The 22,098-nt window shown below is 57.0% G+C and overlaps 1 protein-coding gene and 1 non-coding gene across 15 annotated transcripts, besides 27 other annotated features; one reads left to right on the top strand and one right to left on the bottom strand.

Annotated features, from left to right (window-relative positions):
- Positions 1-817: 817 nt before the first annotated feature.
- Positions 818-21,935, bottom strand: CSK (C-terminal Src kinase). Of its 14 annotated transcripts, NM_001354988.2 has the most exons (15): positions 15,438-15,471; positions 13,069-13,198; positions 10,767-10,969; positions 5,703-5,782; positions 5,287-5,400; positions 5,077-5,189; positions 4,524-4,743; positions 3,510-3,603; positions 3,269-3,334; positions 3,093-3,192; positions 2,913-3,003; positions 2,420-2,493; positions 2,125-2,320; positions 1,932-2,018; positions 818-1,684 (listed from the first exon to the last, which is right to left on the bottom strand). In NM_001354988.2, exons 4-15 carry the CDS (start codon positions 5,715-5,717, stop codon positions 1,502-1,504), a joined length of 1,353 nt encoding a protein of 450 aa, NP_001341917.1. In that variant the 5' UTR covers positions 5,718-5,782; positions 10,767-10,969; positions 13,069-13,198; positions 15,438-15,471; the 3' UTR covers positions 818-1,501. The 14 variants fall into 14 exon arrangements, 13 of the variants coding, with proteins under 13 accessions (NP_001341917.1, NP_001374019.1, NP_001374022.1 ...); NM_001387090.1 differs by lacking the exons at positions 10,767-10,969; positions 13,069-13,198; positions 15,438-15,471 and adding exons at positions 19,492-19,580; positions 21,295-21,935; NM_001387093.1 differs by lacking the exons at positions 10,767-10,969; positions 13,069-13,198; positions 15,438-15,471 and adding exons at positions 19,492-19,572; positions 21,295-21,935.
- Positions 2,484-3,333: an enhancer, noted in NCBI's record as "H3K4me1 hESC enhancer chr15:75093023-75093872 (GRCh37/hg19 assembly coordinates)". NCBI's record gives its function as "activates a minimal SCP1, AML or CMV promoter by ChIP-STARR-seq in primed H9 embryonic stem cells {active_cell/tissue: H9 hESC(primed)}" and the evidence as "EXISTENCE:reporter gene assay evidence [ECO:0000049][PMID:30033119]".
- Positions 3,334-4,185: an enhancer, noted in NCBI's record as "H3K27ac-H3K4me1 hESC enhancer chr15:75092171-75093022 (GRCh37/hg19 assembly coordinates)". NCBI's record gives its function as "activates a minimal SCP1, AML or CMV promoter by ChIP-STARR-seq in naive H9 embryonic stem cells {active_cell/tissue: H9 hESC(naive)}" and the evidence as "EXISTENCE:reporter gene assay evidence [ECO:0000049][PMID:30033119]".
- Positions 3,513-3,807: an enhancer, noted in NCBI's record as "tiled region #11341; HepG2 Activating DNase matched - State 12:CtcfO, and K562 Activating DNase unmatched - State 25:Art". NCBI's record gives its function as "activates a minimal TATA promoter and a strong SV40 promoter by Sharpr-MPRA in HepG2 and K562 cells {active_cell/tissue: HepG2 | K562}" and the evidence as "EXISTENCE:reporter gene assay evidence [ECO:0000049][PMID:27701403]".
- Positions 3,812-3,931: an enhancer, noted in NCBI's record as "active region_9807". NCBI's record gives its function as "activates an Ori minimal core promoter by ATAC-STARR-seq in GM12878 lymphoblastoid cells {active_cell/tissue: GM12878}" and the evidence as "EXISTENCE:reporter gene assay evidence [ECO:0000049][PMID:35858748]".
- Positions 4,461-5,660: an enhancer, noted in NCBI's record as "BRD4-independent group 4 enhancer chr15:75090696-75091895 (GRCh37/hg19 assembly coordinates)". NCBI's record gives its function as "activates an origin of replication core promoter dependent on BRD2, P300/CBP, MED14 and CDK7 cofactors, and independent of BRD4, by STARR-seq in HCT116 cells {active_cell/tissue: HCT116}" and the evidence as "EXISTENCE:reporter gene assay evidence [ECO:0000049][PMID:35650434]".
- Positions 4,461-5,903: a biological region, named in NCBI's record as "BRD4-independent group 4 enhancer GRCh37_chr15:75090696-75091895".
- Positions 5,037-5,888: an enhancer, noted in NCBI's record as "H3K4me1 hESC enhancer chr15:75090468-75091319 (GRCh37/hg19 assembly coordinates)". NCBI's record gives its function as "activates a minimal SCP1, AML or CMV promoter by ChIP-STARR-seq in primed H9 embryonic stem cells {active_cell/tissue: H9 hESC(primed)}" and the evidence as "EXISTENCE:reporter gene assay evidence [ECO:0000049][PMID:30033119]".
- Positions 5,854-5,903: an enhancer, noted in NCBI's record as "active region_9806". NCBI's record gives its function as "activates an Ori minimal core promoter by ATAC-STARR-seq in GM12878 lymphoblastoid cells {active_cell/tissue: GM12878}" and the evidence as "EXISTENCE:reporter gene assay evidence [ECO:0000049][PMID:35858748]".
- Positions 10,049-10,877: an enhancer, noted in NCBI's record as "H3K4me1 hESC enhancer chr15:75085479-75086307 (GRCh37/hg19 assembly coordinates)". NCBI's record gives its function as "activates a minimal SCP1, AML or CMV promoter by ChIP-STARR-seq in primed H9 embryonic stem cells {active_cell/tissue: H9 hESC(primed)}" and the evidence as "EXISTENCE:reporter gene assay evidence [ECO:0000049][PMID:30033119]".
- Positions 10,072-10,121: an enhancer, noted in NCBI's record as "active region_9805". NCBI's record gives its function as "activates an Ori minimal core promoter by ATAC-STARR-seq in GM12878 lymphoblastoid cells {active_cell/tissue: GM12878}" and the evidence as "EXISTENCE:reporter gene assay evidence [ECO:0000049][PMID:35858748]".
- Positions 10,878-11,707: an enhancer, noted in NCBI's record as "H3K4me1 hESC enhancer chr15:75084649-75085478 (GRCh37/hg19 assembly coordinates)". NCBI's record gives its function as "activates a minimal SCP1, AML or CMV promoter by ChIP-STARR-seq in primed H9 embryonic stem cells {active_cell/tissue: H9 hESC(primed)}" and the evidence as "EXISTENCE:reporter gene assay evidence [ECO:0000049][PMID:30033119]".
- Positions 12,197-12,256: an enhancer, noted in NCBI's record as "active region_9804". NCBI's record gives its function as "activates an Ori minimal core promoter by ATAC-STARR-seq in GM12878 lymphoblastoid cells {active_cell/tissue: GM12878}" and the evidence as "EXISTENCE:reporter gene assay evidence [ECO:0000049][PMID:35858748]".
- Positions 13,638-13,737: an enhancer, noted in NCBI's record as "active region_9803". NCBI's record gives its function as "activates an Ori minimal core promoter by ATAC-STARR-seq in GM12878 lymphoblastoid cells {active_cell/tissue: GM12878}" and the evidence as "EXISTENCE:reporter gene assay evidence [ECO:0000049][PMID:35858748]".
- Positions 13,908-13,977: an enhancer, noted in NCBI's record as "active region_9802". NCBI's record gives its function as "activates an Ori minimal core promoter by ATAC-STARR-seq in GM12878 lymphoblastoid cells {active_cell/tissue: GM12878}" and the evidence as "EXISTENCE:reporter gene assay evidence [ECO:0000049][PMID:35858748]".
- Positions 13,998-14,047: an enhancer, noted in NCBI's record as "active region_9801". NCBI's record gives its function as "activates an Ori minimal core promoter by ATAC-STARR-seq in GM12878 lymphoblastoid cells {active_cell/tissue: GM12878}" and the evidence as "EXISTENCE:reporter gene assay evidence [ECO:0000049][PMID:35858748]".
- Positions 14,558-14,637: an enhancer, noted in NCBI's record as "active region_9800". NCBI's record gives its function as "activates an Ori minimal core promoter by ATAC-STARR-seq in GM12878 lymphoblastoid cells {active_cell/tissue: GM12878}" and the evidence as "EXISTENCE:reporter gene assay evidence [ECO:0000049][PMID:35858748]".
- Positions 14,668-14,977: an enhancer, noted in NCBI's record as "active region_9799". NCBI's record gives its function as "activates an Ori minimal core promoter by ATAC-STARR-seq in GM12878 lymphoblastoid cells {active_cell/tissue: GM12878}" and the evidence as "EXISTENCE:reporter gene assay evidence [ECO:0000049][PMID:35858748]".
- MIR4513 (microRNA 4513) lies at positions 15,258-15,343 on the top strand. Its single transcript, NR_039738.1, has one exon. It is a non-coding gene; the product is annotated as a microRNA 4513 (primary transcript).
- Positions 16,038-16,147: an enhancer, noted in NCBI's record as "active region_9798". NCBI's record gives its function as "activates an Ori minimal core promoter by ATAC-STARR-seq in GM12878 lymphoblastoid cells {active_cell/tissue: GM12878}" and the evidence as "EXISTENCE:reporter gene assay evidence [ECO:0000049][PMID:35858748]".
- Positions 16,038-16,215: a silencer, noted in NCBI's record as "fragment chr15:75080141-75080318 (GRCh37/hg19 assembly coordinates)". NCBI's record gives its function as "represses an EF-1alpha promoter that drives an FKBP-Casp9 reporter gene in an ReSE screen in HepG2 liver carcinoma cells {active_cell/tissue: HepG2}" and the evidence as "EXISTENCE:reporter gene assay evidence [ECO:0000049][PMID:32094911]".
- Positions 16,158-16,207: an enhancer, noted in NCBI's record as "active region_9797". NCBI's record gives its function as "activates an Ori minimal core promoter by ATAC-STARR-seq in GM12878 lymphoblastoid cells {active_cell/tissue: GM12878}" and the evidence as "EXISTENCE:reporter gene assay evidence [ECO:0000049][PMID:35858748]".
- Positions 16,328-16,547: an enhancer, noted in NCBI's record as "active region_9796". NCBI's record gives its function as "activates an Ori minimal core promoter by ATAC-STARR-seq in GM12878 lymphoblastoid cells {active_cell/tissue: GM12878}" and the evidence as "EXISTENCE:reporter gene assay evidence [ECO:0000049][PMID:35858748]".
- Positions 16,618-16,807: an enhancer, noted in NCBI's record as "active region_9795". NCBI's record gives its function as "activates an Ori minimal core promoter by ATAC-STARR-seq in GM12878 lymphoblastoid cells {active_cell/tissue: GM12878}" and the evidence as "EXISTENCE:reporter gene assay evidence [ECO:0000049][PMID:35858748]".
- Positions 19,576-19,635: an enhancer, noted in NCBI's record as "active region_9794". NCBI's record gives its function as "activates an Ori minimal core promoter by ATAC-STARR-seq in GM12878 lymphoblastoid cells {active_cell/tissue: GM12878}" and the evidence as "EXISTENCE:reporter gene assay evidence [ECO:0000049][PMID:35858748]".
- Positions 19,646-19,775: an enhancer, noted in NCBI's record as "active region_9793". NCBI's record gives its function as "activates an Ori minimal core promoter by ATAC-STARR-seq in GM12878 lymphoblastoid cells {active_cell/tissue: GM12878}" and the evidence as "EXISTENCE:reporter gene assay evidence [ECO:0000049][PMID:35858748]".
- Positions 20,658-21,233: an enhancer, noted in NCBI's record as "H3K4me1 hESC enhancer chr15:75075123-75075698 (GRCh37/hg19 assembly coordinates)". NCBI's record gives its function as "activates a minimal SCP1, AML or CMV promoter by ChIP-STARR-seq in naive H9 embryonic stem cells {active_cell/tissue: H9 hESC(naive)}" and the evidence as "EXISTENCE:reporter gene assay evidence [ECO:0000049][PMID:30033119]".
- Positions 21,466-21,725: a silencer, noted in NCBI's record as "silent region_6658". NCBI's record gives its function as "represses an Ori minimal core promoter by ATAC-STARR-seq in GM12878 lymphoblastoid cells {active_cell/tissue: GM12878}" and the evidence as "EXISTENCE:reporter gene assay evidence [ECO:0000049][PMID:35858748]".
- Positions 21,836-22,055: a silencer, noted in NCBI's record as "silent region_6657". NCBI's record gives its function as "represses an Ori minimal core promoter by ATAC-STARR-seq in GM12878 lymphoblastoid cells {active_cell/tissue: GM12878}" and the evidence as "EXISTENCE:reporter gene assay evidence [ECO:0000049][PMID:35858748]".

Here is a 22,098-nt window from a genome sequence, read left to right as displayed (position 1 = left end):
TCTTCCTGGATTTCAGGTCCTGTTGGCTGGTAGAGGAAGGGTCGGGGCCACAACAGGACAGGGGAACACCCCACCTGCCTGCCTCAGGGAATACATGAAGCCTCCTCACACCTTCAGAGGTTCTGTACTGACCACTGCCCCTGGACAACCTGAGTGAGGGGAGAAAATCTCATGGCTGGTCCACATTCTCTATATGTTCCCCGACAAGGTGGGGTGGGGAGGGACTCCCCCTGACTGGAAGGTGCCAGGATCTCCCCTCTGCCCTGCATCCTCAACCCCTGCCAAGTCTGGTATGACCTAAGGCCTGGCACATGGCAGGGGTGGGGACAGGGCAAAGCTGTGACATCGTGGGTGAAACTGGAGAACCACCAGGAGCTTTCCCGTCCCTCTCCGGGTCAGCATCTTCTCAGGCATGAGACACTTCTCCTCCTGCCAGAGGAAGCCCACTGGGCCCACCATTGCTTTTTCTCTCTCTTGCACAGGGGGCTTGACTAGAACCCCGTTCCCATCTGTGCAGGCCTGGGCTCCCTCCCATCCCTAGCTGTAGCCCTCCTTGTGCGGCAGGCTTGAAAACAGCAGGGGAGGCAGCTGGAACCCCCAGGCAGCATCCTGTAGATGGGGCCCCGGAGCTGGGCCTGGCGGCAGCAGGGCAACTGGTGAGCACTTCCCGGAGGGCAGACACAAGGACACTCACTCGTGCAGCTGACACAAAGCGGCGGCTACATCTCCCAGCCATGCTCCCCACCCAGCCCCACTCACAGACACAGGGGGATGGACAAGATGGCATGGGAGGGACGACCGGGCAGGACAAGCAGGCTCGGTGGAGGAAGCGCCGAGGCGGGCGGCGGTGTCCTCATGGCGTGGTTTATTACAATTCCATCTCACAAGGCGGGTGGGCGGGTGGCAGCGGCACACGAAATCCAAGCCCCTGACAGACGTCTGCCTCGGGCGCATGCAAACAGTGCAACATGGTCAAGCGCAAACACGGGGCGACCGAGGAGACACGGGACATGGGACACAGAATGGGGAATGAGGCTGGGGCGAGGGGTCCCTAGAGAGGGGCCCGGTCCCCCCCACCCTCACGGGCAGGACAGGAAAAATAAGATTCGTACTTCTTGTAAAATGCCCATTTGCTGGGTACTTTCTTTCTCCTTATCTTGAAAAATAATAAAAAATAAACACACGGAAAAAAAATCTCAAAAAAGGAAAGGAATAAAACTCTAAGAAGGCGAGTGGCGGGAGGCCAGGGAAGCCCGACGTGGTGGGGCGCTGCCTCCCGCTCCGTGGCCTCCTTCCTCCCTGGCCCCTCAGTGGGCTCCCCAGGCCCCACAGGTGGGTCCAAGAGAGACGGGGCCGGAGGGGTGCAGGCTGGGACGCAGGAAAAAGGCCCGCCAGCCCGCTGGGGCTCAGTTCAGGCTCGGGCCCAGTGAGCAGGGGCACCAGGTCCATGATCTTCCAGGTTCAGTCCCCACAGGCCCATGACCCAGGCGGAGGCCAGCCGTCACAGGTGCAGCTCGTGGGTTTTGATGTGCTCAAGCTGCTCTCGGAGCTGTAGGAAGGAGGGCCGCATGGCGGCGTCCAGGTGCCAGCAGTTCTTCATGACTTCATAGACTGCGGGCGGGCAGCCGTCGGGGGCATCCATCTTGTAGCCCTTCTCCACCCGAGGGACGACGTCCTTCAGGGGCTGTGGCCAGGGGGAGGCAGGAGTCAGTCCAGGCCCTGGCCTCAGAGAGGACACCTACCCAGCAGCCTCTCAGGGATGCCCATCAGCTTTGCCGCAGACCCAGGCCCGGAGAGTGGCCTGTGAGCTCCCCAGGGCAGGCCTGAGGCTTCTAGGCCTTGATTGGGGAGGCAGGGCCCAAGGAGGCTCACGCCCCTGCCAACCCCTCCGGTGCTCCAAGAGCCACCCTGATCCCAGTACCCATACTCACAATTCTTGGATAAGGCACTCGCCCAAAGGAGTAGATTTCCCAGAGAAGGATTCCGAAACTCCACACGTCAGACTTAGTGGAGAATTTCTGCCATGTGGATGGAAGAAGCAGCGTCAGATCCTGGGACTCCAGGGTGGGGAGTGACCCAGGACTCCTGCCCACCTCTGTAGGCCCCAGGGGAGGCCAGCCCCACCTTCTCTCTCAGGGCCTCAGGGGCTGTCCACTTGACTGGCAGCTTGCCCGTGTCCTGGGTGCTGGACGCCTCCTTGGTGAGACCAAAGTCGCTGACCTTGGCCACGTTGTCCTCAGACACCAGCACATTGCGGGCAGCCAGGTCTCGATGCACGAAATTGTTGCCCTCCAGGTATTCCATGGCCTCGCAGACATCTCTGGGGGTAGGCCAGCCACATGTCCCCTCAGACTGGGGCTCCCATAGCAGGGCAGGGTACCCCTCAAACCCTACCCATCCAAGAGGCTGCTTCACTCACAGCGAGAACTTGAGGAGACAGTCTCCGCCCAGCACTGACCGACCCCTAGACCGCAGGTAGTCCACAAGGCTCCCCTGGGGGCAGGAAGGACAGACCAGGCCGAGGTCAGACGTGCCCTGCAGCCCTCTCACACAGCACGCTGGGGCCGGGTGGGTGTTGACACTCCAGGGAGGTGTGAGACAGGGAAGGAGTGGGGAGGGGCCAGAACATCCATGCCGGACACTGCTCTGTGTTATTCATGCCTTATCCCTTGACTCTCACAAATCTCTAAGTTGTTATTATCTCCATTTCCCAGATGTGATGCTGAGGCTTGGAGGTGACATGATTTGTCCAATGTTACAGTCAATGAATGGTAAACCAGGACAAAAGCCCAGCCCTGGTGACCTAAAAGCTCACTTGGGGTCGGGGGACTGAGGGAGCAGGGGCCCTAGAGCACAGTGGGGGTTTCGGGGCAGTTGGAAGGCCTGAGTGCCGGGTCTCGGCAGGTGCCCACCTTGGCCATGTACTCAGTGACGATGTAGAGCCCGCCCTTCTCCTCCACGATCACGCCCAGGAGCTGCACCAGGTTGCTATGCCGCAGTTGCCTGGGGCAGGACGAGAGTGGTCAGAAAGGGGAAGCTGGTGCCTCACTCCTAACCTAGGCCAACCTCCCCCCTACCCCGCCCCCACTCACGTCATGACTGAGGCTTCAGCCAGGAAGGCCTGGGCAGTGGCGTCGTTCTTAATGCACTTGACGGCGACTTTGTTCCCTCGGTAATCGCCCAGCATCACGTCTGGGGGCAGAGAGGTGGTCTTGTTCCCAAGTTCGGAGTCCCTCAGAACCCCCCCAGGGGGCCCGGCCCAGCTCACCTCCGAACTCCCCCTTCCCGATGGTCTGCAGCAGCTTCAGCTCCTTCATGTTCAGGGCCCAGCCGCCTGTGGGGAGGGGCCAGTGAGGGCCTGGAGGCCACTAGGGACATGGCTGGGATGACAGAGGCTGACTGGACTATCAGGCACTGGGGTTCTCTGGAGGTTCCTGGATGGGGCAGTGCCAGGAAGCCTGCGTGGGAGGAGGTGGGTGGGCAAGAGGTCTGGGGTGGGGTGCACTCACTGCGGTAGAACTCATCCTGGGCCGCCACTGTGCCCTCCATGACCTTTGGTTTAATGAGGCGCGTACAGAGTCCATCTGCGTCTGAGGTGTAGTGCTGCAGGGTGTGGGGGGCAGGGTGCTCAGAGACAGCCCAAGGTGCCCCATATGCACCGTCCAGGCCTGACCACCAGAGGGCGGCAGAGGCCAGCCCCGCCTAGCCTGGAGTCACTGAGTGGGGAGGGCTCCCCATTTCTGGTAGGGCAGGGGTTAGGGAAGTCCCAGATTATGACGTATGGCCCATTTCCCATGCCACCCTACATGCGGTTGCTGGACACTCAGCTGCTGCTACCACTCTGGGCCCCATGGGTATCTGATGCAGAGGGCAACCCATGGCTCAGTCCTGAAACCAGCCTCTAGCCAGGAGTGCCCAGGACCCCACCCTCACCTGCCACAGGCCAAGCCAGGCCAGTAGGGGAGGGAGATAAGAGTGAATACAGAGGGACACGGGAGGCTTCCTGTGGCTACCGGATGCCAGGTGTGGCCTGGCCAGGGCTGGCAGAGCTGGCCTGGGAAGCTGCAGGGACCTGTGGGCATGTCCGTGCAGGTGCGAGAGCCTCAGGGGCCCTGGCGATCAAGGCGCATGGCTCATGTTTCTGCACACGCTTCTGAGCATGCAGGTCTGTGAGTGGCTGGAGGAAAGTTAGCTCTGGGATCAGACAGACTCAGATTCTAGTCCTGGCACCAAATTATATCTGTGGGACCTCAGGTGGGTCCCCTAACTGCTCTGAACCTTCAACTCCTGGTCTATAAAATGAGGATAAGGCTCCCCTCCTCATGGTGGCACTGTGGGGTCAGAGGTGAGTCCTGGCACGCAGCAGCTGCTCCACCAAGGTGTGAGGAAACAAGGGCTCACAGAAGTTGCCCCACATGGCTGGTCACCACGCAGAAGCAGTGGGGCTGGAGCTAGAAGCCAGGGCCCCAGATGGGTTTAGGGTGTGTGAGGGTGGGAGCAAGGCTCTGTACCCCCCAGCTCACCTCCACCAGCTGCATGAGGTTCTCAAAGTACACCTCCTCGTCGATGCTGAGCTTGCTGGCATGGTACATGATGCGGTAGTGCTCCACCTTGCCGTCGCAGCTCACGCACAGCGTGTAGTCTCCGGGGTAGTTGGTGCTCTCCCGCACCAGGAACAGGCCTGTCTCCGGCGGGTACAGAAGCCGCTCAGCCTGCTCCCGTGTGATCTTGCCGTGGAACCAACTGGGGAGCAGCAGGGCTGGAGGTCATGGTGGCCCAAAGGTACTGACCCTGGCTCCCCTTTCTGAAGGGGTTCCCTCTGCTTGGCACCCGTGGCTCGCACTCGCTCAGTCAGGCATTTGAGGCCCTCTTCTTCTGCTCCCTGTCCCTTCTTTGCCACCCTCCTGCCTCTGCCCCCAGCCCTGCTCTGTGAGGTCCCGCACCCGCACCCTGCACCTCCTCCTGAGGCCCTCCCCAACACCCAAGCCCCTCACTCTGGCCTCCCTGCTTGCTCCTGATGCTCCTTCAGGAGGACCAAGGCCCCTTCCCTCCCCAACCCCTCCTCGTGGTACTCACGGCATGAGGCTGAGTTTGGTACCCGCCTTCACGCCCTCCCGCTTCTGGACGTAGTTGGCTGGGATGATGCCCTCACGGCCCACCTTGTTTTTGGCTTTGTACCAGTTGGGGTCCTGGGGAGAGGGCAGCCCAGACATGCTCTCAGGCCCACCTCCCCCTGCAGAGGGAAGGCCCAGCAGTGGGATGGTGGGGTGGGCGTCACCTGATTACCTTGGTGACGGCCACAATGGTGAGCACGTCTCCTTTGCAGAAGGGCAGGTCCTGCTCGGCAGTGCCGTGGAAGTTGTACTTGGCAATACATTCTGTACCGGATGGCCAGGCGGCCTGCAAGGCAGGTGACACGTGGGCGGGTGCAGCCTGGGCCCCCTCCAGCCACCTGCTGGCGCACCCTCGTGGTCACAGCCTCTGAGCTGGCCTCTGTGAGCCTGGGTGAGGTGCTCTGCCCGGAGAACGAGCCCTGGGTCCCTTCCTGTTGAGACTCCCCCACTTCCCCAGGCCTGTACCTGACTGAGTGCTGGGAAAAAGGGGAGTGGGTTGATCTAAGCTGCATCCTCTCTCCTCTGCTAAGCACCCCGCTGGGGCTGGTGGGAATGCTTGCATGTCCCAGACCCTCACCCCTGTGGTACCTGTATTGCTGACATCTTCTCAGGAGCTCTGGCGTCCCCGAGTCACAGTAAAGCCAACCTGTCACTTGGTACCATTAGAGCTGTGGGGAAGAGCATGAAGACTGAGGAGGGGTGTGAAGAAATGCCCCCCAACTGCTGAGATCTGGCTCCTCACTGGGCATGAACAGGTGCCAAGAGTGTCCTGCGCTGGGATTTGACACATGGGCCATTCTCTCCAGTCCTGGCAGGCTGACGGTACTGGGTAGAGGAGCATGAGGGCTGAGGACCCCCAGGGGCAGAGGGAGCCACCAACCCTAAGGCCACAGGGGGCCTTCCAGGACTGATAGAAAGGAGCAAAGGGGGCTAGTGGGACAATGGACACCTGACCGTCAGCCCCAGGCCTGGTTCCAGCTACTGTTCTGTGGGGAAAGGGGCCCCGGAGCAGCTCTGAGAAGGGGCTATGTGATCTGAGAAAGTCCCTTATGCTCTGTGGGTCCTTGGGTCCTTCACCTGCAAAATCCCGCCCAGGTAGCATCTCTAAACATATACCAACCCCACTTCTAGGTACACACCGAGAGGACACAGGACATGTGTCTGCCTAGACAGGCACAGGAGGGCTACAAGTGGCATGCTTTGTAATAAACCTCAAACTGGGAGCTGCCCAGATGCCGATCCAGAGGAAAATGGATAAACAGTGGCATATTCACAAAAGGGACTACGTACAGCAGTAAACACCAACCATTAAATAAACTCCAACACAAACTCCAACCATTAAATAACACTGATGAATTTCTTTTCTTTTCTTTTTTTGAGATGGAGTCTGGCTCTGTCACCCAGGCTGGAGTGCAGTAGCACAATCTCGGCTCATTGCAACCTCCACCTCCTGAGTAGCTGGGATTACAGGCATGCACCACCACAACCAGCTAATTTTTGTATTTTCAGTAGAGATGGGGTTTCACCATGTTGGCCAGGCTGGTCTCGAACTCCTGACCTCAGGTGATCCACCCACCTCGGCCTCCCAAAATGCTGGGATTACAGGTGCCAGTCACCGTGCCTGGCCAATCCCGATAAATTTCAAAACATAATGATGGCTAGGCACAGTGGCTCACACCTGTAATCTCAGCACTTTGGGAAGCTGAGGCAGACAGATGGCTTAAACCCAGGAGGAGTTCAAGACCAGTCTCGGCAACATGGCGAAACCCGGTCTCTACTAAAGATACAAAAATTAGCCGGGGGTGGTACTGCGTGCTTGTACTCCCAGCTACTCAGGAGGCTGAGGTGGGAGGATCGCTTGAGCCTGGGGAGGTCAAGGCTACAGTGAGCCAAGGTCACACCACTGCACTCCAGCCTGGGCGACAGAGTGAGACCCTGCCTCTAAATGAATGAATAAATAAATAAATAAATAAAATGTTAACCAAGAAGCCAGACACAGGAAAGTACATATTATGTAATTCCATTTGAATAAAGTTCAAAATCTGGCCAAACTAATCCATGCTGTCAGGATAGCTGCTCTTGGGACAGGGAGACTGGAAGGAATGCAAGGGGACCTCTGGGGTTGGTTTTCAGACTGTCTGAGCCCAATCATGAAGTGGGTCCACTCTGTGACAATTCACTGAGCTGTACCATTGCGATCGGCACACTTTTTGGTGTATAGTGCACACTTGAACAACTCGGGTCTGAACTGCGCAGGTCCAGTTACACATGGATTTTTTCTTTTTCTTTTCTTTTTTTTTTTTTTTTGAGAAAGGGTCTCACTCTGTTGCCCAGGCAGGAGTGCAGTGACGTGATCATAGCTCACAGCAGCCTCAAACCCCTGGGTTCAGCCAATCCTCCTGCCTCAGCCTCCTAAGTAGCGATTACCACAGGCATGCGCCACCACACGTGGCTGGATGTTTTTCAGTAAGTTACACTGAGTGTGCCTGCCTTTTCTGCCTTCCTTTCCACCTCCTCCGCCTCCACCTCTGCCACCTCTGTGACGGCAAGACCAACTCTTCCTCTTCCTCCTCAGCCTACTCAATGTGAAGGATGAAGACCTTCATAATGATCCCCTTCGACTTAAAGAATAGTAGATATATTTCCTCTTCCTTATGATTTTCTTTCTTTTTTTTTTTGAGACAGCAAGACTCTGTCGCCCAGGCTGGAACGCAGTGGTGGGGTGACTCACGGCTTACTGCAACTACCTCCGCCTCCCAGGTTCAAGTGATTCTCATGCCTTGACCACCTGAGTAGCTGGGATCATAGGCGTGCGCCAACACAGCAGACCAATTTTTGTATTTTTAGTAGATACAGGGTTTCACCATATTGGCCATGCTGGTCTTGAACTCCTGGCCTCAAGTGATCCGCCTGCCCCAGCCTCCCAATGTGCTGAGATTACAGGTGTGAGCCACTGCACCCGGCCATATGATTTTCTTATTTTATTTTCACTAGCTTACTTTATTGTAAGAATACAGTATATAATATATATAACAAACAAAATGAGTGTCAATCAACTTTATCTACAAGGCTTTCTGACAACAATAGGCTATTAGTAGTTAAGTTTTTGAGGAGTCAAAAGTTAATATATGATTTTTTGACTGCAGGGAGGAGGTTGATGCCCTCAACCCCTGTGTTGTTCAAGGGTCAACCGTATATTTACTTCAATAAAGTTGACTCCCCAAAAAAGCTACCCTAGCCAACCCCATTCCCTGAGAGCAGCAACCCACCCGTCTGCACACACATACTTTGTAATCCCAGCCCAGAGCCCCCTTGGACCTGTCTCAGGAAGCAGAGGGGCTGGAACTACTGTTTCCTTTCTACGGGTGAGGAAACTGAGGGTGAGAAAGGGCCAGTGGCATCTTCGTGGTCACAGTGTGTTAGAAGAGAAACTCCTCCATGAGCCTCTTTGCTGGGCTCTTTGATACAGTGGATGAGGTCTGGGGGCTAGGCTGACAGTCACAAATATTGCTACCTACCCCAGTGGAAGGAGACATTTTATTTTATTATTATTGTTATTATTGCGACGGAGTCTTGCTCTGTTGCCCAGGCTGGAGTGCAGTGGCGCGGGAGAAGACATTTTAGTGCAAAGTGCTGGGGGTGTGAAGTAGGCACGGACTGCAGAGCTCAGACAGGCTCCCTGGAGGAGGGAGCTCTGGGGCTGAGCCCTGAAGATTGCAGGGCTTACACAGGCAGAGGGCGGGCCAGGGAAGGCACCCCAGGTTGATGCAGCAGTCTGAGCAAAGGTGTCAGGCAGGGGACTGGCATAGTATGAGAAACTGGCCCAGGTGGAAGCCGATGGTGAGGGAAGCGGGAAGGCAGACCCTGCCCATCTGGGGCTCTAGGACCCCACACACTTCCAGAGTCCACCTTGAGCACCGCTGCTCAGGGGACACTGTAGGGGATGGTTTCAAGTGGGCCTGGCATAAACTCTGCCAGGCAGCAGGGGGACTTCCACTGCCAATGTGAGGAACCAGGGTTTGACTCCAAGGGCGATGGGGCCTCAGCAGGGGGGCATGTGATCATGGAGAGCAGAAGGAGCTGGGGAGGAGACGGCCAGGGAGAACCAACACTTCCAGGCCGCACACCTGGCTCTATAGTCAGGCCTGGGCTTAATACCTGGCTCTGTTGACTGTGCGACTTGGGGTGAGTGACTCAACCCTTCTAAGTCTTGCTTACCCTGAAGGGGAGGACAGGTATCTCCTGCAAGCTGGCTGAGGAGGGGCTGGAATGAAACCCTGAACTTGGAAATGTCTGGTGCGCCCCTGCCCCATCCCCTGGATGAAAGAGCTTCCGTTCCTCCCAGAATACAGGGCCCTTTCTATCCCCAGAGGCCAGGCCATCAATCCTGCTGTTTAGGCAGGGACACTGAGGCCCAAGGAGGATGAGCCTGAAACCTGCCTCCATCCACATGACTCAGTCACCACTAAGTACAGGAACCATCCCTTGCCCCTGCCTCCTGTGGACTGTAAGCTGTGAGGGTGGGGGTGGCGGGGACCCCTTGCCCCTGCCTCCTGTGGACTGTAAGCTGTGGGGGTGGGGGTGGCGGGGACCCCTTACCCCTGCCTCCTGTGGACTGTAAGCTGTGGGGGTGGGGGTGGCGGGGACCCCTTGCCCCTGCCTCCTGTGGACTGTAAGCTGTGAGGGTGGGGGTGGCGGGGACCCCTTGCCCCTGCCTCCTGTGGACTGTAAGCTGTGAGGGTGGGGGTGGTGAGGACCCCTTGCCCCTGCCTCCTGTGGACTGTAAGCTGTGGGGGTGGGGGTGGCGGGGAGGGAAGGAGGATTGTGAGCTCTTCTAACCCTCTTACCCCCATTTCACAGAAGCGGAAACTGAGGCTCAACTGGTTGAACAATTTGCCTGAAGTCACATAGCTAGTTAGGGGTGACAGAGCTTGAATTAGGGTCCCACTAGGGCTGGCTGGGCCCCCAACCTTTAGGTCCTTCTGAATAGGGGCCCTGCTAGCATTCCACATCCCCATGCCTCCCCCTTCCTCCCCAAACTCCCTGCCACCACAGGGGGGCGCGGAGGCTGCTGCGCTGTTAGTCACCCTTCCAGCTGTCAGTTTGCAAACACTCCCTTCCTGGCCTACAGCTACTGCCACCGCCGCCTCCCCACTGCCTTGATTATAATAATAAAAATAATAACAGGCCCTGTTTTCTGAGCACTTATTCTGTGCCAGGCCCTGTCCTTGGCACGTTATGGCTCATCACATCCTCTAACAACTCTGAGACAGAGAAGCTATTATTATCCCCATTTTGCAGATGAGAACCCCAAGTGAGGCCCACAGGGGCAAGGCGGGGGTCCCTAGGGCCACACCTTGAGTGAGCATTCTGTCCCCCTCAGGTGTCAAACTCCTGAGCTGCTGAGCCAGCCCTCCCCATAGCCCCGTGCCTCCCTGCCGGACAGGCCCCAGGAGTTGCCATGGGGACCACACTAGCCTAGGGGCAAGGGAGAGGAGGGAGGAGGGAGGAGGCAGAAGCAGCTATGAGGGGCACAGGGGCGGTGCTCAGGGAAGGGTAAGCCTAGGAGCGGTCGGGGTGGGCTGCCTCAAGGAGCTGGGCTCTGAAGGCCTCAGAGGGTCTGGAAACAGGGAAGAGGGCTAAACTCATCACCTTTACTCTGCTGGCTGTGACTCTAGAACCCAGCTTCCCCATCTGTGCAATGGACTGGTGATACTCCTTGGCTCTGGGGGCTGCTGTGAGGACTGGAGTTGAGCTCTCAGCACCAGAACAGTGCCTGCCTTGCCACAGACATCTTGCAAGTGGGAGCTGCTAACTCTCTTGGACGGCTCCTCCCTGGTGGGGTCATGAGACCCCTGAATGAATGAATAAATGAACAAACAAAAGGGGGAATCCAGCCTGGCTACATCACACTGAGGTCCCATAACCAATGGGACTATAGTTAACCCCAAAGGGACTATAGTTAACCCCAAAGCGATAGCAGCTGTCACCCCACCCCCACAGAGCTAGGGGACAAGGGGCTTGGGATGTGGCAGGACCAGTGCTTCACGCTGACTTCCTGCCCCAAACCCGGCTCCCAGTAGCCCTTGTGCTGGGGTCCCGGGAACAGGCTGGCATTGTGCCCAAGCACTGACGTCAGTGGCCGCAGACAAGATGGCTCAGTGGCTTCCCAGCTAGTGCCTAGGCCGGGGTCCCCTCCTTAAAACATCTCCAGAAGGTGAGACCCTCCCACTGCAGGTCAGAGGCTGACAGCCAGAGTGGCTGGGAGGAGCTACTGCAAACTTAGGCCTCTACAACCCAGCGGGGGTCAGGCACAGAGAGGGGGTCCTTCCTGGGGTTATTTAAACTTAAGAGTCGGGCTACTCTATGGAACAGTGCAGGAACATCGTCCTGGGTGTCAGATGCTCTGAGTCCTGTACCCAGCTCTGCCATCAACTTGCTGTGTGACCTTGGGAAAGTCACTTGACCTTTCTGGGACTTGTTGGCTTCTGGTACCTTAGCCAGACCTGTTTCCCATCTGCTGTTGCCAGGACACCTGTGCCCTGTCTCCCTCCCCGCCTTGCCATTCCCTTCACACTCTCTCCTCCTCCTTTACCGAGGGACTTCCACTCAACCTTGGGGGTGCAGCTGAGCAACTGCTTCTGGAGTACCCATGCCTTAAAAAAACACAGCAGGACAGTCCCTGCAGTGCTGTCTGTAGTAGCAGGAGATGATGGGGAGACAGCCTTTATGTCCATCAGTTGGGGGCTGGGTGGATAAATTACAAGATGTCCCTGAAAGGGGACAGCATAGCTCTAGCTGTGATGGGGCCAGGGGAGATCTCTAGATGCCGATACTGAACACTCCCCATGATAGAGTATGGAAAATGGCAAAACACCAGCTCAAGTCATTGAAGAAAAAGTTGCCAGGGGAGCAGAACAGACACAGCTTCCAAGTCCCATCCCACAGGCTAATTGGAAACAGGAAGGAGCACCTGCACTACAGGGAGACGTGCGGACAACCCCGGAACCAAGTGATCCAGTGAAGCATCACCAGCAAGGTGACGCATGGACACTAAGTGCCTCCTGGAGGAGGACTCTGCATTGCCCGGGGGGGCGTTCCTGCCAGAGCTGTTCCACCTGACTCCAACCAGGGAGAAGCAATCAGACAAATCCAGAACAACTGGCCCGGACTCTTCATGTCAATGTCATAAAAGAGCAAAACAAAAAAAGGGCTGGAGAATGTTCTAGATTGAACAGGACACTAGAGAAACATGACAAGATTCAATAAATGATCTTGAATTGAATTCTATATCAAGGGGTGGTCGGGGGGACAGCTATAAAAATCACTTGGGGAGAGGGGAAATGGACATAGTAGATAATATGGAATTAATGTCAATTTTCTTAAGTGTGATCATGACATTGTGATTATATAAGAGATACACGCTAAAGTTCTTAGGGTGAAAGATGCAATGCCTACAACTAACACTCAAATCAGCAAAAAATACATACACACATATGTCTATGTAGATAAAAGAAGAGATAGAGTAAATGTGGCAAAATGTTAAGAACTGGCAAATCTGCATGAAGGATATATGAATATTCATTATACTATTACTTCAACTTTTTGGTAGGTTTCAAATACTCAAAATAAAAGGCTGTGAAAAAAAAAGCCAGGTGCAGGTTCTCTATGGAATACTACAAGTTGTGTTTTTAAAGAGGTATTAATGCAACACCTCCCTAAACTCAAATATGCCTCGATTATCTTTGGAAAGACAGAGGAAACTGGTAACAGAGGTTGCCTCTAGGATGAGAAGGGAAAGTGAGATCAAGTTCAAGAGAAACTTACTTTTTACTGTTCATTTGCTATTTTGTCCTTTTGGGCTTTTAAAAAAATTATTATTATTTTTTTAAAGCCACATGCATCTATTACCTTCCCCCTTAAAACTGGAAATAAGAAACTTTTTGTAAATCACCTCTCTCTGGAGAATTCCTTGGGTCCCCAGCTGTGTTGGCTGCCGAGGCCTCCAAGGCCTCTCACACATCCCCGTGCTCCAGTGAGAACCTCACTGGTTGTGGCCTGTGGTTTAGGGTGGACTGGGAGCTCTGCAGGGGGAAAGTGAGGGTCTGACTCACGTCTGCATGGGCTGGGCCCAAAGCGGCTGCTCAGTAAATGAGTGCTGAATGAATGAATGAATGAACGAATGAAAAAAAGGGGACGCCAGGCTGGCTGTACCACACCGAGGTCTCATAACCAATAGGACTATAGTTAACCCCAAAGGGACAGCAGCTGTCACCCCATTCCCGCAGGGCTAGGGGACAAGGGGCTTGGGATGTGGCAGGACCAGTGCTTCACTCTGACTTCCTGCCCTAAACCCGGCTCCCAGCAGCCCTTGTGCTGGGGTCCCGGGAACAGGCTGGCATTGTGCCCAAGCGCTGAGGTCAGTGGCTGCAGCCTCAGGCAGCCTTTCTTGTGAGCCCAGGCTGACAAGGAGTGGGGAGAAAGAACTGGGAGCCCAGAAACTCCCAGGCTGCCCTTTTCCTACCCTGGAAGCAGCTGTAGACCCCCAAGGCCAGGCACGTGCTGAGGGCCAGGGGAGGTCAAGGGGCTCCCTTGCCCTTCCCCCTTGCCAAAACTCTGCTGCCTAATGGGGCGTGGGAGCCTTCAGTAACTGTTTACGCCCAGCTAAAAATACCCACTGAAAAGGGAAGTGCACAAAAGACCTGGGGGAACTCAGGGCCCTGGCCCCCGGAGATTCTGGTGCTGCCACAGGACCTAGCTGGATGCTCTGGGGGATGGGGACAGCCACTGGAGGCAAAACAGGCAACAGCAAGGTCCACCTTGCCTTCTCATTCTTTGAGCCAGTGTTTTAGAAGCCTTCCTGTGTGCCCAGAGCCATGCTTGGTAGGCCAGGATATCCGGGTGGAGAAGGAAAGGACTCAAGAGGTCCTGCCTTTGGGGACCCAAGGTCACCACTCACACACCTCTCCTCTGTGCACAAGCCAGGGCTGGATGCTGGGAACCACCACAAAATGCAGACCCGGCTCCTGTCCTCCTGGTTACTGGATGGTCAGCCATGGCCTGGTATGTTCAGTGCCTCAATAGATTGTGAGACAGGGGCCACCCGGGAAGGCTTCCAGGAAGATGGGTGAGGGGAGCAGGAGCTAGAAGGATTTTAGGGGAAAGTGACTGAGAGAGGGGCGCCTTGAAGTAAACCAGGATTAAGACTGCAAACTGTGGTACAGAGCGAGTTAATGAAGACTGAAGAAGGTTCAGGATGGGGGCCCAGGGAACCTCCGAGCAGGGCCTACAGGTCATAGTACAGATACAGGCAGAATTAAGTTTCAGATTTGGGCCCGCCCCTCCAAAGGGCAGTGCACCTGAGGAGGGCGGGGCACCCACCAGCAGTTGGGCAAGTTTGGCAGCAATAAAATCAGCTCCACCTCTGGTTCTGCAGAGGACACCAGGCTGAGGCACTGTGACATTCCCCACCACACATCAGGCAAGGAAGGGTGCCCGAGGGCTTCCACTGACCCCCGCAGCCTGCGCTGGTGGTCCCTCAGCACCCCCACTGCACAGGTGTCTCAGGGTGAGCAGCAGCAGAATTGGGCGCCAGGGTCTTGGAGATGCCTACACCTCCCGGGGCGGTTACGAAGGAACAGAAGAATGCCTGCTCTGGCTCCAGGGCACGCTGCCCTACCCCCATCCCGGGGCTCCCGTCAGCACCCTGACCTAAGGAGAAGGGCGGATTTAATGGATAAATACCAAATTATAGCAACACACTGGCTTTTTTTCCCCTGCCCCCAATGGTTCAGTGGGACCGGAAATCCCGTCTAGTGGTTTGGGAGAGGTGGGGGCTGGGGTTAGAGCAGGCTAATGGGGAGCCTACTCCCCAGGCACCGCTGCGGCTTGAGGCTGCCATTCCTGGCCCAGAAAGGTTTCTAATTACCGCTCAGGAGCCTAATTACCTATGTGCGCTGGGCAATGGGGACTCTGGGCCTCCCCAGGGCCCTAACCCAGGCCTCTGCTCCCCCACCCCCTTAGCACAGGATGTGGTCTTTGCATCTTCATTTGCCTGCATTTGCATATAGCCTCTCAGCACTAGCCTTCAATGGACCCTTCAAAGTCATGTTCTTGTCCCTCACCCGGAAGTCTCCTGGCCACATTCTAGGTGGGGAGACTGACGGCTGGAGGCCCATAAGCTGTCTAAAACTTCGGCCCCCAGATTTCTGGTCTCCCCACTTCAGAACCAGGATCTGCAGAACACACAGCTCAGAAGGTAAAGCTGTGGGGATCAACACAAAGGACAGACTTGCTACTACTTAAGGGAGATGGGGGTGTTACCAGTACACTCCTCCAGCAGGATGGGCTGCAGAATGAGAACACGGGAATTACAGCTGACTGACCCAACCGGGTTTGGGGCACTGCATTAGTTACTTAATCCTTCAAACACCCCATAGGGCAAGGACTGGTGATCTCTGACAGAGGAGGAACTAGCTGTGTGGGTACTTGAGCTCAGAGTTGTCTGAACCTTGGTTAGGGGACCTTTCTTCCCACCTTTCCTTGTGCAGGACAGACGACACCCTGAAAATGGACAGGTGGGGGGCACCGAGGGGAGGTCTGCCCAGAGCTTGGCTGTTCTGCTCTGGGAAGCAGAGGTACTTCTGTGCCCACTTCTTGCTTGTCTGCATACCCCAGCCTCTCAGAGAGGCCAAGAGCCTGTCGAGGGACACACAGAAAAGAGCCAGCAGCCCTAGAGAGGGCAGAAGCTTCAAACAAGGACCTCTCCTCCTACCACGCTTCTTCTTCAAACACTTCTCAACTTTCACAGGACCTTCCCCTCCAGGAGGCCCTCCAGGCTGCCCCAGCCCACGCAGAGCCCCAGCTTCAGAGCTCCTACCAGCTCTGCCAGGAAGTGAGAACCACAGGCCTCCCCTCACTGACTCCTCGTCTCCTCTACCCGCCAGCAGAGGCGCTCTCAGGGTTTGCTCTTCATCCTTCCCTCCTGTCTCCCTGCAGCACGGACAGCACAAGCTGCAGATAGATAGATGCGCGAGTCTGCATGAGGACCAGGTGTCAGGCTGGGCTGAGAAGCAGCAGCCAGGGTCCAAGGGGGGCAGATGATGCCCAGGTTTTCGCCTGCCCACGAGGCTTACAACCATGCCATGATCAGGACAGCCAGGGGGGCACCAAGCAGCCTCTCTTCTACTTGTTCCTTCGACTCTGGGCCCAGACCACAGAAGGAGGGGTGGAGGGAAGCTGCGGTTGGAGGGTGTGTGCACAGCTAGTGTGTGATGAGAAGCTGACTTCATCTTAGCACCTCAAAACCAGGAAGAGAAACTGAGCAGGCAGAAAGGGCAGGCTGGGCTGCACAGGGCCCTCCAGTCCCTGGGGGCCTGCTGAGGGGAGCTCTCAAATAGTCGCTTGACAAACCACTTCTCCTTTCTGGGCCTCAGTTTCCCCATGGGAAAAATGGGATTTTTTTTCTAATGGGTCCTGCCAGTCTGCCCTGAGTGGTGCCGTCTACACTTAATGGGCCACATCATGGCAGATAAAAGAGCACCCCCCCAACTGGTGGAGTACTTCTGATCCCGAGGAGCAGGGGCTCAGCCACCCAAAGCCAGCCTCTCCCTGCTCACTTCTCCCCTCAGCCATGCAGGGAGCACCAGCTCTTCCTTCACCAGCTCTTTATTTTTAGGTCTGAATTTGACTTTAATCATTACTTAGCGGATTCTATTTCCAGCCCTTGGATGAAGGGACCCAGAGGAGAGGGGGAAGGGAGGCAGTGCTCCCTGCCGGGCGTTGGGGGTGGCCTGCTCCTCCACCCATCCTGTCCCCAACCAAGGGCGGGGGAAACTGAGAAACACCCAAAGGGCTCTCATCTGAGCCAGGCCAGGCCAGCATCTTGGGGCGGACCCCACCCTGTGACCTCATCCCATCCCAAGCTGTGGGACAGGAGGGCAGTTGTCATGCCCACTTCCCTTACACTAAGACCAGGGAGGAGGAGATACTCCACAGGCCAAAGTTTGGCAGCTGGAGTCTGAAGTCGTGTGCCCAAGGGACCTCTGCACTGAATGGGCCACCTGGGGGAGGACCCCTTCCTTAGGTTAGTCCTGGGCCACCCTAGGGTCATCTGGGGCTACAGTCTCTTAGGCCCAGGGTTGCCAGGAGGAGACTGGTGTCCTGCTACTGCCCACGGGGTGGCTGTAGGAGGGCACTCCCAGTTACCCTGGTCTCCACAAAAGTAGAACAAGAGGAAGCAGGTGTGTCACAGTGATACACACTCAGGTTAGACCTGGGGAACACCTGCTGAGGAGGGGGAGGCTAACATGAGTTTCCCGATGTGTCCAACTCCCTCCTGGGAAGCTCTGGGAGGCTCCAGAATCCCCCTACCCTTAATCTCCCAGCTTCTTTCCCTTCCTTGGCTACTGGAACAGGGTGCGAAGATGAGGCTGGCATGGCTGTTCTTGGGCTGGGGCTCAGGATGCCTGGGTTCCTTGTCTAAGTCTCAGGCTAAGCAGGCCTCTATTTCCTCTGGGAAAATGCCAAGCTGGGCTGACCTAGCCAGAGCTGGGAGGCAGGAGGCAGCCAGGCTCTTACAGAAGAGGCGCAGTGGCTCACGCCTATAATCCCAGCACTTCAGGAGGCCGAGGTGGGTGGATCACCTGAGGTCAGGAGTTTGAGACCAGCCTGACCAACACGGAGAAACCCCATCGCTACTAAAAATACAAAATTAGCCAGGCGTGATGGCACATGCCTCTAATCCCAACTTGGAAGGCTGAGGCAGGAGAATCGCTTAAACCGGGAGCCGGAGGTTGTGGTGAGCCAAGATCGCGCCATTGCACTCCAGACTGGGCAACAAGAGCAAAACTCCATCTCACACACACACACACACACACACACACACAAAAAAAAAAAAGAGAGAGAGAGAGAGAGAAGAGGCCTTGTCTATTTAGCTCTGATGCTGGGAGACCGGAAGGGGAATGGGTGGAGTCAGGTCCCGGACCCTAACCAGCAGCCCATCTTCCCAGGGCCAGCCCCATGTCCTAGGCCAGCCAATCATATGGTAATGGGGAGAAGGGAAGGCAGGCAAGGGCACTGGCCATAGTATTCTAGAACCTCAGGGCCAGGGGGTTTCACAGGGGCTCCTCAGGCGGAGACCACCTCTTTGCCAGGTGAGTGGTCAGTCAACATTGGCCCGTGGCTCAGGCACCTTCCCCACAGGTTGAGGCAGCCAGCAGTGGGCACTCCTTCAACAATGCCAATCCTACTCACAGAGGGAGTGAAGAAAGGGCTGTGCCAGGCACTTTAGAGTCCCTTGGTTAGTTAGTTGACACTGTCCTTACACCTTCCTCTGAAGTAGGTGTTACCATCCTGTTATTTATATCAACGAGGCTCAGCAGGTCAGTGACCTGTCTAAGGTCCCTCTACCCTGGGCCTAAGTGGCATGTCTGGGCCTGGAACCCACATTCAGTTGGGTGCCAAGTTGCTTGTGCCCTCCAACACCCTGGCTGCTTTTGGGACTCATAGTAACGACAACCACAACAGCAACAGAGGGGAAAAATGCACACGCTCCAGTGTATGGGTGATGGCGCTGCAGCAGGCCAGCCTAGAATGTTCTGTAGCTTTTTAGAAGCAACGTTACTTAGACCGCGTAGCACCATGAGAAAATGCCCACAGACGCAGTATTAAATGAAAAAAGGTGTCACGGCACACACACTCCAGTGACAACGACAATGAAGGAAAAGGATGGGGAAAAGACTGGCAGTGAACTCCAAAATGCTAACACAGTCACTGCCTGCTGAAGAAATAGTGGGTGATTTTTGTTTCATTTTCTAAATTTCCTGTAGCGCTGTTTTGTTATTTTCTAAATCAAGAAAATGAGTACATTCATGGTTTCCCTATAATGAGCTCAGATTCACTTCCCTGGGACCCACCTGCTCCCTAGCTCTGGCCCACGTGTCTGGGACAATTTCTGCCATGGGATGCCTTTCTCATTTGGGACAGTCCCTCAGACATATGAGAATCTGTCCCTACTTTCTCTTTCCCAGACTCAGTCAACATCCCTGGCTCTTTGAAGATGACCTGTCAAGGTTTTAAAATCCTTCAAAAGATGGAGCCCAGAACCGCACCCAGGTGGGTCTGCCCCCTTTGGGGGGCAGCCATGTCACACTGTGGATCCTGGGTCTCAACCCCTACCTATACTTGTTTGGAGGAAGCTGCATTCTGTCCCCGAAATTTCCAACCCTTGCCGAGGGCCACTCTGTGTGGCTCAGCCTTTTGGGGTCTGGCCCCCCTGCGGTGGTGAATGGGAACATTTTCTGCTTTTTCCTTGCCCCTGACCCAATGCAGAGAGAAGAGCAGCTGCTTCTGAGAGGGTGGAGGGCACCAAGCTCACCAATGAAAAGCACATCCCTGCACACGTGCCAGCCAGAAGCCAGACTCCTTTCTTCAAAGGCCCTGGGACCCTGGATCACACCTTCACAGCTCACAGTTGGTAAAAAAATAAAATAAAATAAAATAAAAATTAAAAAGGCTGACTGGGGTGGGAGGGAGCTAACCATGTCAGGCTCCAGCCCCAGTCCCTCAGGCTGGAAAGGAAGTTAGGGCTGGGTGTGGGGCCATGTGAGGGGAGTCTCACAGGCCCAGGACATCTGGGTCCCCTCCACTGTGCATGTCAGGACAGCCAGAAAAAAAAGTGAAAAAACAAAAAAACCCTAAATCGTGAGCAGGGACCCAGCAGGACAAAACTGCCAGCAGCTCCAAGGGAGCCCAGACACTGCTCAGCACCCACCAGGGCAATGCCTGCTCTCCTGGGCCAGAGGATCCTGCCAGGCCTCAACCTCACCCCTGCTGTCCTTGCCCTGTTCCTGCTGTGGCCACAACCAAGAAAGACACTGGAACCGCCAGGGTACTAGGAGCTTGAAACAGGCCCCCTGGGTGTCCCCACTCTCACAATGCTCCCATGTCCCCAGTCTGTAGCCTGCTGCCAGTGGAGACAGAGCTTCCACGGTTCCCATGTGACCCCATTTATATCCTGAACTTGGCTGCTCCTGTGCCAGCTGGGCCATAGGTGTGGCGAGTGCTGGGTCAGGACTGACCACCAGGTTGTTTCAACTCAGAGCCGGGGCCAGGACCGGACCTTCCTGCCACACCACACAGATGGCCATACACCACACATTCCCCACATCTCCTGCTAGCTGACCCAGCCACAGCTGGAGCCGGAAGCCCTTTCACTCCCTCCAGCCCTCTGCAGGGAAGCACGTGCTCAACCAACAAGGTCCCTCTGGGGCCGGGCTGGGGGCCTGTGTCCCCAGTGGGTGAAGGTGCCTGCCTGGTTTCCTTCCACCCACAGCCATCCAGCCCTGTATAGCTGGGGATGAAAGGACAGCCAGCCTAACTCCACTAGAGGCCTGGGGTAGCAACTTCTCCCTTTGAGCCTCGGTTCCCGGGTGTACAAAATGGGCGGGGAAGTGAACTGGTAGTTAAGCTCCAAAAAATCTGCTGGCTGGACACACCCCTTCCTGACACCTGGTCTGGGCCACAAAGAGCCTAGGAGAATGGGCTGCCCAGGGTGCCAGAAGGTGGGGGCATGGTGCTAATGCTCCGTTACCTCCCCCCGGGCAGAAGGCCTGCCCAGTTTCCCACCCAAAGATCCCTTGGCTTAGGCCTGGTCTTCTGAGAGGCCAAGGGTGACAGGCTCAGTCCTAGGACCTGGGCTTCTAACTGCTCACCCGAGGTGGCTGGGCCCTGGGCTTGCTTGCAGCCCGCAGGGTCATGGTGGGGTAATGAGGGAGGGGTCAGAACCAAGCAAGCCAGGGCACCTGCGGGGAGGCCCTGTACAGGGAAGGGCAGGGGAGTCCAGCACTCTCTCTAGGGACCTGGCCCATACGGATCCTCTTCCTCCAGACTCCAGCCACCTCCTACTCTGAGCTCCACAGAGGGGGGGACTCGGGATGACCCGAGAAGACGAGTCCGTGGAGCTGCAGGGCAGTACCTCCCTCATGCACTCCCTTCCAATTTGGGTTCTGACAGTGGCTCCTGGGAGAATTCGAACCCGTGCAAGGGAGTAAAGGAGAGAAGGGAGAAGTGGGAGAAGAGGGGAATGGGAGTGGACGCGACAGTGGCAGCAACAGAGACTAGACGCGCGACCTCCACCCTCTTCCCTCCAGGGGACACTCCGGGACGGCCAGGCACTCACCTCTCTTGGGGCACTGCGGTCCGGGCCACCTCGCCGCGGGCGGCATCAGCGGCCTGCGGGACGGTCCATGCGGTCAGGGGGGAGGGGAGGGGCGCAGGGGTCCCCAGGGGGTGCGGTACAAAGAGGTATGGGTGCAAGGAGAGGGGAGGAGGGACCGCCAGGCAGAGGCAGGGGGACGGACGCACGGCCCGGGTCGCGGAGGGAAGAAAGGCGGGGGAAGGGGGCGGGAGGGAGTCGGGGGGAGGAAACAATGTAGCCGGCGCGGCCCCGGCAGAGTTCCGCTTCCGAGCGCCGCCACTGAGGTTCGATTTTGGAACGTCGCGCTGGCTGCCGGGGGCCGCCCCGGACGCTCGATCGGGGCCGCGGGGCTCCTCGCGCTCCACGCCCCGCGGGCTCCGGCGGCCAGAGGCTGGCTGGGGCGGGAGGGACGGCGGGCCGGGTTACGGCCCCGACGGCGGCGCAGCCGGGCGGTCGCCCGGCTCGGACCCCACCCCGGCAGAAGCCCCCGGGCAAGGCGCGGGTGGGGCAGGAGCGGGAGGGCGGCAGCGGGCTCGGCGGCGGCGGCGGCCAACCTCGGCTCGCCCAGGGCTCCGCTGGGAGGAAGCTCGCAGGCCTGGCGAGAGGAAGCGCGGCCCGGATCCTCCGCCCGCGGCAGCGCGCCTGCGCGAGGGGGCCTGCCCGGCGCGCGGCGGGGCGTGGGCCGGCGGGGCGGCGCCCCCTGCCGGGCGCCGGGGGCACTGCGGGGGGTGTGTCCGCGCCCACGCCCTGCCCCCACTTGCCGCCTGGCTGCGTTGAAGGCTCCGA

Source organism: Homo sapiens, chromosome 15, assembly GCF_000001405.40.
Source record: "Homo sapiens chromosome 15, GRCh38.p14 Primary Assembly".
Lineage (NCBI taxonomy): Eukaryota > Metazoa > Chordata > Mammalia > Primates > Hominidae > Homo > Homo sapiens.
Note: the sequence above shows the minus strand (reverse complement) of the source record. Positions and strands in the feature narration are given on the sequence as shown.

What these genes read in the sequence shown, in the direction of transcription:
- CSK (NM_001387090.1), bottom strand. An exon ending in TCACTGAGTACATGGCCAAG is followed by an intron (nt 2,494 to 2,912) that starts GTGGGCACCTGC and finishes TCCTGCCCCCAG; the next exon opens with GGGAGCCTTGTGGACTACCT. An exon ending in CTGAGGCCCTGAGAGAGAAG is followed by an intron (nt 2,019 to 2,124) that starts GTGGGGCTGGCC and finishes TCCACATGGCAG; the next exon opens with AAATTCTCCACTAAGTCTGA.